The sequence below is a fragment of the Homo sapiens genome, chromosome X (genome assembly GCF_000001405.40).
Source record: "Homo sapiens chromosome X, GRCh38.p14 Primary Assembly".
Classification (NCBI taxonomy): Eukaryota; Metazoa; Chordata; class Mammalia; order Primates; family Hominidae; genus Homo; species Homo sapiens.
The window spans coordinates 88,556,857-88,570,147 of NC_000023.11; the positions used below are offsets into that span (position 1 = coordinate 88,556,857).

The 13,291-nt window shown below is 35.9% G+C and overlaps 1 long non-coding RNA gene across 1 annotated transcript in view; it reads right to left on the bottom strand.

Annotated features, from left to right (window-relative positions):
• The window catches only part of LOC107985713 (uncharacterized), a 119,361-nt gene that overhangs the window by 62,727 nt on the left and 43,343 nt on the right, over window positions 1–13,291 (bottom strand). The window contains exon 3 of the long non-coding RNA XR_001755911.2: window positions 10,099–10,263. This is a non-coding gene — a long non-coding RNA (uncharacterized LOC107985713). The remainder of the gene's footprint in view (window positions 1–10,098; window positions 10,264–13,291) is intronic.

Consider the following 13,291-nt stretch of genomic DNA (forward strand, 5'->3'; position numbering starts at 1 on the left):
TGATTTTCCTCTCCGTGTTCACGTGTTCTCATTGGATGTAACAATGTTAATAAAAGGTATTAACAAACTCAATTTCTATGTAGATACAATTTTCTTCTGCTTTTTGTTTTTATTATTATTTTAATTATTCACGTTTTCATTATTACTGTATTAATTATAGCTGATATACCAGTCCATATTTTTTCCTAATCGGTAGATTTGTTTCTAGTCATGCACTGTTTTGATACAATAAAATAATATATTTAATTTGTATGACCTCTGGCGTTAGTCATATATTTTGATATAAAAAATGGTAAAACCATAGATATTTTGGTCCTGTGTCTTTATTCTCAGAGTTGAGATGCTGCCACGCCTTCTGCTATTGTGATTGTAGCTTGGAATGCCAGCAACATGGGACTAACTAGGTCTATAATGAGTGGTAAAAGAGAATTTGGGTCATGATCTCATAAACACTGGGATATAGAAGAAAAAATAAGGCTTTGTAAGTATTTGCTTTTTGATCATACTATCTTACAATTTTATTCTAAGAAATACATGCCGATCCTGTGGATTAAAACTAATAATCTTCCCAAAACTTTATTTCCCTTACTTCAGAATACCAATGCTAAGAAAAAAGTATGAAGATATTTTTTTAAAAACATGTTTCAAACTTTTATAATGAAATAACTTGGGCATAAACAGTGCATGTCATATATTTTTAAAAATGTGTTGACAGAGAAAATATATGAATTCCTTTCACTCCCAGAAAAAGACCAAACTAATTTATATATAATATAGAATCACGTATAAGAAAATTAACACTTTATGAAACACATTTAATCTTATTTTAAAAACATGTCATTTTTTTCTCCAACCAATGCTTTATTCATGGCATTAATTTTTCATTGGAACCCCAGTGATAAATGTGTAAGAATACATCTGCTAGAGCAGGCAGATAGGTAGACATGAGCATGAAAGGGAACCCTGGAGACCTGAAGCCCTGGAAACTTTGTCACACCAGCAAACAGTGCCCCACTAAAAAAATCAGAAAAAAAAAAAAGTCACATATGTAATTGTGGTTAGGATTATCTGGCCTTAAACTGGGACTTACTTACCTGGCCCTAGTAGGAAATAACTTCAGGCCCTAGTAGGAAATAATTTCAGTAGGAAAATTCAGTAGGCCTAGTAGGAAATAACTTACCTGGCCCTAGTAGTAAATAATTTCAGTAGGAAATACTGAGGACTTTCCTCAGTAGCGAGCATGTGCACTTCCACTTGCCTCACCTTAAAGGTAACCTTTTCTTCATTATAATAATTAAAACACACCCTGGTTGAGATTTAACATGCTAATAAGACATATGACATATGCACTTAGCATGTATGGTTATAGCACATGCACACCCAGGGGGCCACGCAAAACATGCATGCTAGCAACACCACGTCATGCCACTTCTATGAATAATTATTTAAGATTCATATAAAGAGGGTTCCCCAGTGTCAGTTGACACTCATTCTCGAGCAGCCTGCTCTGACTTGGCTTTCAGAGTGTACCGTCCCTTTAAATAAGTAAGTTTGCTGCTGCTTATCTATTACTGCATGTCTCTTGACTTAATTATTTCTTCCAAGAAGACAAGAATCTGTGAATCTGCCTTTGATTTGGAAGCCCCCACTTCCAGTTATCCTGCCTTTCTGGACCAAACCAATGTACGTTTTACATGTATGGATTGATGTCTCACAGTCTCCCTAAAAGGTATAAAACCAAGTTGTACTCTGACCACTTTGAGCACATGTTCTCAGGATCTCCTGAGGGCAGTGTCACAGGCCATCGCTCACTCATATTTGGCTCAGAATAAATCTGTTCAAATATTTTCAGAAAGTTACTTTTTACTGACATACAGGACAACAATAGTTAAAGGTAATTAAGGAGATATTCGCTTTTTTAAAAAATTTAAATTCTAATCTCCCATGTAACATGAAGTTTTGAAATTAATTTTATTTCTTGGTTGATAGTAGACATATTTTTATGTAGCCACATATAATTGTTATTTATAATGATTTTAAAAATGTGTTTCTGGGCCGGGCGCAGTGGCTCACTCCTGTAATCCCAGTACTTTGGGAGGCCAAGGCAGGCGGATCACGAGGTCAGGAGATTGAGACCAGCCTGACCAACATGGAGAAACCCCGTCTCTACTAAAAATACAAAATTAGCTGGGTGTGGTGGCGCATGCCTGTAATCCCAGCTACTCGGGAGGCTGAGGCAGGAGGATTGCTTGAACACGGGAGGCGGAGGTTGCCGTGAGCTGAGATCGCGCCATTGTACTCCAGCCTGGGCAACAAGAGCGAAACCCCATCTCAAAAGAAAAAAAAAAAAGTGTTTCTGAAACTGCAAATAAAATTAGCATTTGCTGTTTTCAGAAAAGAGAATCTTCTATTTCTTACCTCATAAACCTTCAATAAATGAGCACATAGCTTCGAAATTATCTATTTGAGGTAAAACAAAACTTATGAGAGGCCATTGTTTTGAGCTGAGCTCTTGCACTAGGCACCAACATTCCAGACCAAACCAAAATGGAGTGACCCATGCTAAGTGCAAACTAGTCAAACTGAAACTTTAAGGAAGCAGATGTATTATCAGGGAAGGGTATCCAAGTTACGGGTGGTGAATCTGTATGGGTATGCAGCAACCTCAATTCTTGCCTCCTCAGAAAAAAGATTTTGACTGAGGGGCATACAGCAGATAAAAGAGACTGAGGCAAGTTTTAGAGCAGGAGTGAACGTTTATGAAAAAGGTTTAGAACAGGAATTAAAATAAAGTATTATTGGAAGAGGGCCAAGTGGGCATCTTGGAGGACAAGTGCTCCATTTCACTTTGGACTTAGGGTTTTATATGCTGGCTTACTTCCAGCATCTTGCATCCCTTTTCCCTTCATTCTTCCCTTGAAGTGAGCTACCTGCATGTGTAGTGGCCTGCTAGCACTTGGGAGGTGAGTATGTGCAGTGTGTTTACTGGACTTGTACACATGCTCTCCCAAGGCATTCTTCCCTTTGCTGGTGGAATGCCCCTGAAACATCATATACCATTAAACTCTGCCATTTTGTCTCTTAATGCGCATGTCTGAGTCCACTCGCTCACCTCCTGAGATCTTATCCAGAAGCTGCTGATCACCAATTTCAGTTTTTTTTTTTTTCTATAGGGTGACTGCCTTTCCCTGGAACTGGCTGTGACAAATTATTATTTCAGAGAGACAATTAACAACCACCTGACCATCGCCTTATTGTCTGCTGACATTCTTGGTTGTGGATAGGCCCTCTCCTGCCCTGCTCATGCCTTACTAGCTACCTACTCTAACAAATGGATATCAAAAGTGACCTTTTTTTTTTCTTGAAGAAAAGAGATTCCAGTTTACCTCAGTCAATAATAAGAAAATTTCCTCTGCTTTATTCATTACAAAAAAGTAACCTGATGTTAACAAATTAGATTTCTTTTTCTTTGTTCTGTTTCCTTGCTCCCAATTTAAAGAATCCAGTGTTCTGCTATTGTCCATTGAGAGCTCTCATTCTATTTTTTTAGAATAAAGGCTGCCTTTATTCGTGAATCACAAACAAAAGCCAATTAGATCTATAACTACATTTGCTGTAATTTTGTTTTTCAACTTTGGTACCAGTATTTCTTTCCTATCTGCCCTTCCGGTTTATCCTAGAAAAATATAGTTTGTATTCCCTAGACAGTATAAATACAGCAAAACTAAAGCCATTTAAAATCCCTTTACAATTTCAAGGGCTTCTTTACACTTCTGTCAGATAAAGACAAACAGGTACTTAGATAGGAGGACACTTCAGTTAAAAAGAAAGACTATTCCAATGGGAGACTGCTCCAGATCTCAAAAACTCTGTGAACATTTCAAAATCAAGCAGAAAAGTGATTTTCCTTAATAGGGTAAAAAGGAGACAAGCAGAGATAAGCACGACCATTAGAGGAGAAGTTGGACAAACAAGGGAAAATAACCAATGCGTTCTGACAAAAACTGTCCTGCTATGCTCAGGAAAACCAGGGAAAGAGGTTACATTCCACTGTGTTTGTTTGTTTTTGTGCTTGTTCCGGCTTGCAAGTTAGCAGAGTTCAGGGTCCTAAAGATGAAAGAGAAGCCTAATCAAAGGTTGGTGACAAAGCACAGGGTAAAAAGCAGGCAATTGTAAATACTTGGTCACTTTGAAGGAAACGGTCAATTAAATTACATTTAGCAGTCTACAATTTGTAAACCACAGTCCTTAAGAAAAGTGGTCTTGAAACATCAGAAACTCAGCTTAGATTTACTGTTTTATTATTGATTGACCAATGCAATTGACTTAAATAATAATATTTAATTAATGTTTTATACTATTTAATTATCATCATCTATACACATTCACACAGAGTATGATAAAATGCAAAGTAAAATATATTTGCTGGTAGAAATAATTATGAGATTTAACAAAGGTGTGATCCTATTTGGTTAACTCCTCTGGCCTCATTTTCTTCATCACAAATCATTATAATCTATTTTATGTGAGGAATAAATTAAATAAAATGCCATATATAAAAATGCTGAGCATAGTGCCAGGCACATATTAAAAAACCAATAAATAGTGGTTGAATAAATGACTACTTGCTGATGAGAAGTATACTATATGAATGAAATTGGACTAGTTGTCTCCCTTAGCTTTTTTTTTTTTTTTCAGAGCAGGTGTGGAAGTTTATTAAAAAGCTTTAGAGCAGGAAAGAAAGGAAAGTGCACTTGGAAGACATCCAAGTGGGCAACTTGAAGAACAGTGCCTCCTTTAGCTTCTTAATGTTCTGAGGTGACTGTATTGCATGAGATTATCTCAAAAATTCTTAATTTCTAAATAAAAAAATTGTTAAATTATTTTTCTATGTATTGTCACTTACATTCATTAAACTGAAATTGCTTTAAAATTTACTTTTACTTAAGTATAGAACAAAACAGCTTCTAGAAGATATTGAGTTATAGAATCCCAATATATAGTGCTATCACATAAACAACCTAATATTCTATCTTTTGAAGTTTAAATGTTAGTATTTGCTACTTATTTTCTTTTGTAAGCAAATAGCATATTAACTTCAGACATACGTCTCATTTACAAACCTTGATTCTTAATCATGAGGTCTGAAAAAATCCTATTTGACAGAGATTTTTGACATTTCAATATCAGAAATTTATGATTTTTCTCTGTGGTGATTTCAGTCATAAGAAAACTCTTAAGTAAGCTAATAACAGTGCTATAAAGGTATTAATTAATTATTACAAAACAATAATACTTGTAAAATAGGTTACACATTTAATATTTCTTTAACTTATACTATAAACTTTATACCATTTGGTATAATAAGTTTTAATAACCACGATAAAACCAACATTCATATAACACCTACTAAAACGTAATTTAAGAAGTTAATTATCAGCAGGAAAAAAAGATAGGTTTCCCTTTAAAGTCCTTTGCATATTTGATTAAATCAACTGAATTATGGAAGGAATAGTAATTGAATAAGAGACTGCCTGAAAAGGCATTAATGAAAAGAAAAATGTATCTGCACCTGAAGTCCAAAAACTACAATTTTTAAAAAACCTAAAACATAAAATAAGTAACAGAGCCTCTGCTTTTTTTAAGGAGGATAAAATTGGTAAACTTTGAGCAACACTGATGGAGAAGAAAGAAATGTATATACCTCACTACGCATCCAACAGACACAGAAAAAAATATTAAAAGGATACTATAAACTCATTTGTTCACACATTTATGTGAATAAACTTAAAAATTTAGTTGAAATTGTCAAACGTAATTAGATTCAGAAAATATGATTACGTACAGAGTTTATTCGAGCACAAAACTTGAGGAAATGCACATTAAAACCATAATAAGATACAATCTTATACCATCACTCAGATGGCAATAATTAAAATGTCCGAAAACAACAAATGTTGGCAAGAGTTTAGATAAAAGGGAATGCTTATACACTGCTGGTGGGAAGGTAAATTAGTATAACCTTAATGGAAAACAGTATGGAGTTTTCTCAAAATAAAAATAGAACTGCCATTTGATTCAGTAATCCCAGTTCTGGGGTTATACCCAAAGCGAAATAAATCATTATATCAAAAGACACCCACACTCTTAGGTTTATTGCAGCACTATTCACAATAGCGAAGATATAAAACCAACCTAAGTGCCCATCAGTGGAAGATCGGAAAAAGAAAATGCGTTATACATGTATACCATGGAATACTACTTAGCCATTAAAAAAATGAAATCGTGTCTTTTGCAGCAACATGGATGGAATTGGAGACCATTATCCTAAGTGAAAAAACCCAGAAAAAGAAAATTAAACACAGTATGCTCTCACTTATAAGTGGGAGCCAAACAATTTGTATACATGGACATATGGAATAGAAAAATAGACACTGGAGTCTACAAAAGATGGGAGCATGAGAGGTGGGTGAGGGTTGAAAAATTATCTGTAGCATACAATGTTCACTATTCCGATGATGTGTACACCAGAAGCTTCACTACTATGCAGCATATACATGTAAGAAATCTGCACTTGTGCTATGTATATATATATGATAGAGTTTATTTGAGCACAAAGCTTGAGGATAAAAACCCAGGTAACACAGAATCCAAATAAATGGGGTCAGTGAAGAAGTTAAGGTTTTACGTATATAGGCAGACATATAAGAATTTAACAAGGTTGCAACAGTATCCACAGGAGTCCAATACATATATTACAGAAATTTGATTGATTACAGTTTGCTGCATTCTAAGGAAGATTGCTTTAACATTCCATAAAGAGGGGTAATAGACTTGAAGTGGATCTATCTAGCTCTGGCTTTTTGTAATCATCTACAGTACAAGAATAAAGAGAGGAATTAATGCATAATCGGAGAAGCAGAAATTGCAACTACATGCTAGGTGACTCAGGCCACTAAGTCACATTCCTTCAAAGCTCAGATAATTTAAAGTTCTAACAGCATTAAGTTTGAATTATTTAATTTCACAAAGTCTACACCTGGCAAGAGAAAACTTCCAGTAGCTAATACAAGAAAAAAATTAATGCGAAGGGTCATATGCCCATGAAAGAAATTGAATCTACTACAAAAAAATTTCAATAAACAAAATAGACTAGAGTGAACTCACCAGAGAATTCTTCCAACTTCCAAATATTAAAAAAAATGTCAATCTTAAATAAATTCTTCCAAAAAATTCAGGGTAAGCTTATCAGCTCTTTTTATAAAGTCAAAATAAGTTTGATAACAAAACTCAACTAGAATATAGCAAAGTATGAAAATCAGCTTTTTTATTCAAATAGTTGCCAAAATTCTAAATAAAATTTAGCTCCTCTAATACCTATATAAACTTGTTATATATAAATTGGGTCATGCATCATGATGAATATAATTTTTTTCAGAAATAATAAAGTTGTCTAACATTTAAAAAAAGGATGCCTTACTACATCATCAACAACCACAACAGAAAAACCAAATACATATCTCAATAGATGCAAAAATATTAGATAAAAGGAAACACTCATTTATGATATATGACTTTATGGGAACAAGAAATGGAAGAAAGCTTTCTTAACCCAGTAAAGCACTACTACAAACAAAATAGTAGGTAATATGTTGAAGACATATTGAAAGATTATCTCTTGAGATCCAGAAAAGGACAAACTTGCCCACTGTATCATTCATAGTAAAACAAGGAGAAAACATAAGTAAAATGAATAAAAATACAATAGGGCAAAGACTTTTAAATGGTTTTATTAGAAGATTATGTACTTCTGTGCATAGATAATTCATGAGATTCTATAGGAAAACTATTTGCATTCACAGGTAAATTTAGCAAGCTTGCTCCATAGAAGTGAATATAAATAAATTGTTTTTTAATATATGAGTAACAATTAAATAAAGCATACATTTTAAAAGAATATGACACCTTTTATAATAGCATCATAAAACATCAAACATTTCTGAATAAATTTAAAGAAATATATGCAAGCTTGCTACATTGAAAACTACAAAACATTTTTGAGATAAATCAAAGAAGACCATGGTAAGGGGCTTATCATCTATAGATTAGAAGTTTCAAAATCTTATTATTTTAATGACGCCAATCAGAGAAGATAACTAAGTTTACAAAAAATTTTACCATAAAGTGGGGACGGTTAAGAAGACCTAAATATGACAAAGTATCAATGTTCCAATTCCAGTTTTAAAATATTGATTTTAAATATACTGTAAAAAGTGTGTATTTATTTTTTAATCCTTAGAGGAACCACTGAAAATTATACAAAGTGATACAGTTAAAATTATATTAGATTAGATAAATTATAGTGGAATAAGAACAAATGTTTAAATAACCCCCAAAAACAGAGTACAAGGAAATATTGCAACAAAAATCACAAGAAACAAATAGAAAACAAATAATAAAATGGTATATCTAAATCTGAACATACCAATTATTACATTAGTGTAAATGTTTACACACAGGAATTTAAAGTCAGAGATTGTTAGAACAGATTTTTTAAATGACCCAAATTTTTTGCAGTATAAGTAATGACCACCCAAAGATATCAGGTTTGAATCCTTGGAATCTCTAAATGTTACTTTATAAGAGAAAGGTCCTTTGCAGATGTAATTAGGTTAAGAATCTTGAAGTAGGGGAGATTATCCTAGTTTATCAGTGTGGCCTTTAATTCAATCACAACTTTCCTTATAAGAGAGATGCAGAGAGAGATTAAACCACCACACACACAGAATAGGTGAAAGCAATGTGAAGGCAGAAATTGGAGCAGTGCAGCCACAAGCAAAGGAATGCAGGCAGCCACGAGACGTAGACAGGACAGGGAATATTCTCCTCTAGAGCCTCCAGAGTGTGATCCTGCCCACACCTTGATTTTTGCCCAGTGATACTGATGTTGAACATGAAGCCACCGGAACTGTTAGAGAATACATTTCTGTTGTTTTAAGCACCAAGTCCGTGGTAATTTATTAGGACATTCTGTTTTGTCAGTCCTATAATTTCAAGTGCTACTTTGACATCTTTGAGTTTCACAGGGTCCCAAAGTCCTAGCCATGTGTTTTCCCAACCTGATATGGCTCCCCACACAGTGGGAAAGTTTCCCACCAGGAATGTTTCCTCATTGGCCAAATCAGCTGCACCCTACTCAGTCCTTGACCTAACAGGTTTCAGTTATTTGACAAACGGCAAAATTATTCAAAGAAGCCAATCACATCTTTACACAGGGACTAAGGAGCACCCCGTCCTCCTGTTATTAGAAAGAAGGCTTTCTGTAGGCCTTCTCTTTTACTCTGTTACCCAGTGTCACCCTCCTTGTGGCTCTGTATGGTGTGTGGTCTTCTACTGCCACAGATTGTAAACAGATGTAACTAATAAACAGGTGTTTATCTCATCTGTCTAGTGTCAGGTGTCTGTGTTCAACAGTCTTGTACTGTTAGGGAATGGGATCCCTCTTTCACCAATGGGGTGAACAGTAGGTGATCAGAACAATTTATTTCACAAACCAAATGGCTCAGTCAGGACCAAGAACATGTGGACAGATTTAATTAACTGCTCTTTTCCAAAGAATAAGTTCCTAATACCGTGAAGGTTGTCTGGGATGGAACTGCCAGCTTGCACTTTGGATTTGCATTGTGTTCTATGGTTTCTCTCAAGTACTGGCACCTCCTTCCACCTAAAGCGTCATTCTCACTACTGAGGAGATAGCTATTGTTAGTTGTATGCTGGCATGAAATGACAACATGTGGGGCCTGTGTCTGGCAGATGGTCTCTGGGACTTCCACCACTCATTCTAAGGCAGAGGGACTACCAACAAGGTTGTATAATGGACAATGGCAAGCTGATATGCCATTAGTAGTAGGGACCACAAGAACACCATGTCTGGAACTGGCTGCCCCCTTGGTGGACTATCAAGCCAAGGCCCTGAAGGATAAAGATTCCAGTGTATTGCATGTAGGCTGTTGATGAGAAATTATTTGGGGTGATCACCTGGCCATCCATTAGTAGAGAAAATACCTCCCCAAAACATGCACATAGCCCAGTGCTTACCTCCTAAGTGCTTGAGAAAGGCAAAATCCTGGTTACCAATGAGAAAAGAATTAAGAACGATTTTCTGATTTCCTTGTAAGAGTGACTGTTGTTCAGGCAAAGGTTGGGTCCTTTCCCACCTCCTGTGTTGTTGTTGCTTTCCTTGATGCTTTCACGAGTGCACTCCTGAACATCAAAGGTATCAAGTTACACATTCATAATATCGTGTTTTCCAACACTGATCAGAAAAAACATGTAGAGGAGAGTTTGCTATTCAGCTGTTCTCCAATGTAAAACTCCTGGTCAGTGCACCTGGGCTTTGATCAATGTTGCTGCAAAACAGCAAACAAAATGCTAATCTTGTGATCACAAGGCTTTGTGGCCCTCATCTAAGCCATAGACAAAATAGCTTTATTATCTCTGGACCCGATTTCTGAAGAGATCGACTGGGGCATTCTCAGAGGAGTAGGAGAATTTTCTATTGCCCCCTCACCTCTTTTCTTATAACTACTCAGAGAGACGCATGATAAGTGATCAAATGAAGACCTGATTTTTGAATAATCAGATAGAGACAGAAACTACATGGCTAGGTACCCAAAAGATGAAAGACTGTGCAGCAGAAAATGGCAGGAGTCATAATAGAAGGTGGTTTTAATCTGTCAGCCTCTGGATTGTGGGCCTATAACTCTTCAACTGCACCGGTCCCCTACTTATGGCTCTTTTGCAATAAAAGTCCTAATTTTCAAGATCATTGTGGAAAACACCTATGGTATCCTTGTAGCACAGTTAAAGGGTTCATTCAAAACTGACTAGTTAGGCATTCTTAAACCATATAACCATTGTCATGGGAAAGGTCTCTAGTCCTGATGATACTGATTTGAGGCTCTCTAGTGGAAGAAACTTATGAATAGAAGCAGAGGGAAAAAAAAAAACCTCCTCCCCCCAGATATATCTGTGAGAAAAAAAGAAAGGAAAGAAGAAAAATAAAGATAAGAAAGAAACCAGAACATAGGGAGAAGAAATCAACAGAATTAGAATGAAAGGTCTATAGTTTGACCCAACTGGAAATCCAAAACTTGCTAAAATAACTTATACAGCAAAATAATATGAAAGGGTGTTGATCAGCTTTTGTGCATCTTCACATAGGTGTGAATTAACTTTAAAATTTGCCAAAATGCACCAAATAGAAAACCTTCATGAACTTAATCAATGTTGGGGCTAAAATTAGTTAGACCCAGAGACTACATTAATGGCAACATCATGAGTGATTTTGCTTAGTAGAATGTGGCCATTTCCATCCCCTTAATCAGGATGTGCCCAATAAAGGGCAGGGTCCAAAGATCAACATAATTGGTCCCACTAAATTTAAGCATGATATTCATACTCTCTATAGTCTTAGAGGATTAACTAAATATAAAATAGAAATTAAATACATATGCCCTACCTTAACAATCAGAACTACTAACTCGACTAAATTTCCCATAGTCATTGCATCCATTGCCCTAAAATACCCTATGGTGGACAGAGATGTTCTGATAGAATGATAAATATATTAGACTTAATTATTTTGCACTTACAAATTGGCTTGAAATAATGAGACCCAATGGACCCCACAGGTAAAATTGTTAATATGACCCCAATATAAGTTAAAACAGACCCTTCAATAATTGGAATTTATTCTATGAAACTTTAATTAGTGGAGTAGTAATTATCGTTACTGCTCTTTTCATTTAGCAGGCCAATTTTGACTGTTGTTAAACTGACAAAAGAAAGAATGAGTGGTGCCTCACAGTAGATTAATTCAAATTTATTGCTCTAATCCAATAAATCCACATAACAACATCCAATATTATTAAAATTACTAAATCTATCCAATCAGCAACTAATAAATATTTTAAAATTATAAATTTGGCTAATATGTTTGATTCAGTACCCTTTTAGCTGCAGTTTGCTTTCCCCTTTAAGGGGACAAAGTACAACTTTACCAGACTACTCATGGGATACTTCAGCAGCTTTTTCATTGCATCTAATTTTCTCCAGGAACAGAGGTATGGCATGACATTAATGATACCCCCCTCTGGAGAAATTTATTTGACACACTCACTAAGGATATATAAGTCCACCATCTTTAGTCATTTTGGGTTCTGGAGGCAACATTTTCCTCACTTAAAATTTTACTTAATCTCACTGATGTTGTTATTTACAAATGGGCCCTCCTTAAAGAAATCTTCCTCCAACAAAAGGCTCTATGATCAGTCCAGACTGAGATCAGCAGGTACCAGAGACTACGTCACTGCAGTGGCTTCAGCAACCTTTATTATGCCTCATGGAGTCTTTGCACCACTTATCAAGGCCATCAGTTGGCCCATGAGCTTCTGATACAAGAACCTGCCCTTCTCAGCACTATACACCATTAGAGTGGCAACTGCTGTCCACATATTCTTCTGGAAATAGAGGTTCTCATAGACCTTGAACCTCTTACCCTACATATCCTCCTACCCATTATTCACTGGGTCATGAAGTAGTGTCCCACAAGCTTGACACTGCTACCAAGGACTGCTTGCTACAATATGGAGGCAAATATGGGCCCTCTGACATATTCTACTTGCAGTACGGGGTAGCCTCCCCTGTCCTCAAGTGCCTTGATAGGTGCTATGGTGCTAGAGGAGCTTATTCCTCCCCGAGACCCCTTGGCTACCCAGGGAGCCCCTTAGGATTAACTGGGTAGATAACAAGGGAGGGTATACACTTTATGGATGGCATGCACTATATTAATAGCACCATCATAAGTGATGTTGCCCAGTAGAATGTGGCCATTTCCATCCCCTTAATCAGGATGTTCCTGATAAAGAGCAGGGTCCTAGCATCAACACAATTGGTCAAACTTAAGTCATTCATCTCAGCACTGGATACCCTGACCAACAAATAGATCCGTCCAAGCATTTTTACAAACTCTTGGACTATTTCCCAAGATTTACTCCCTTTGTAGTAGATAAGTCTGGGGAATATCTTGACTCACAGATGCCCAAAATGTAAACCAAAGGTACAGGTGTATCTACATATGGTAAGGCCATAATAAAATGCCTCATCAGGTCTCTCCTTACCTCATTTGGAGTTGCAGATGTTACTGATAGTGACCAAGACACATGCTTCACTTCTCACAATACATAGTCCTTAGCTCTTGAAAAAAAACATTCAATGGAACTTTCATCTC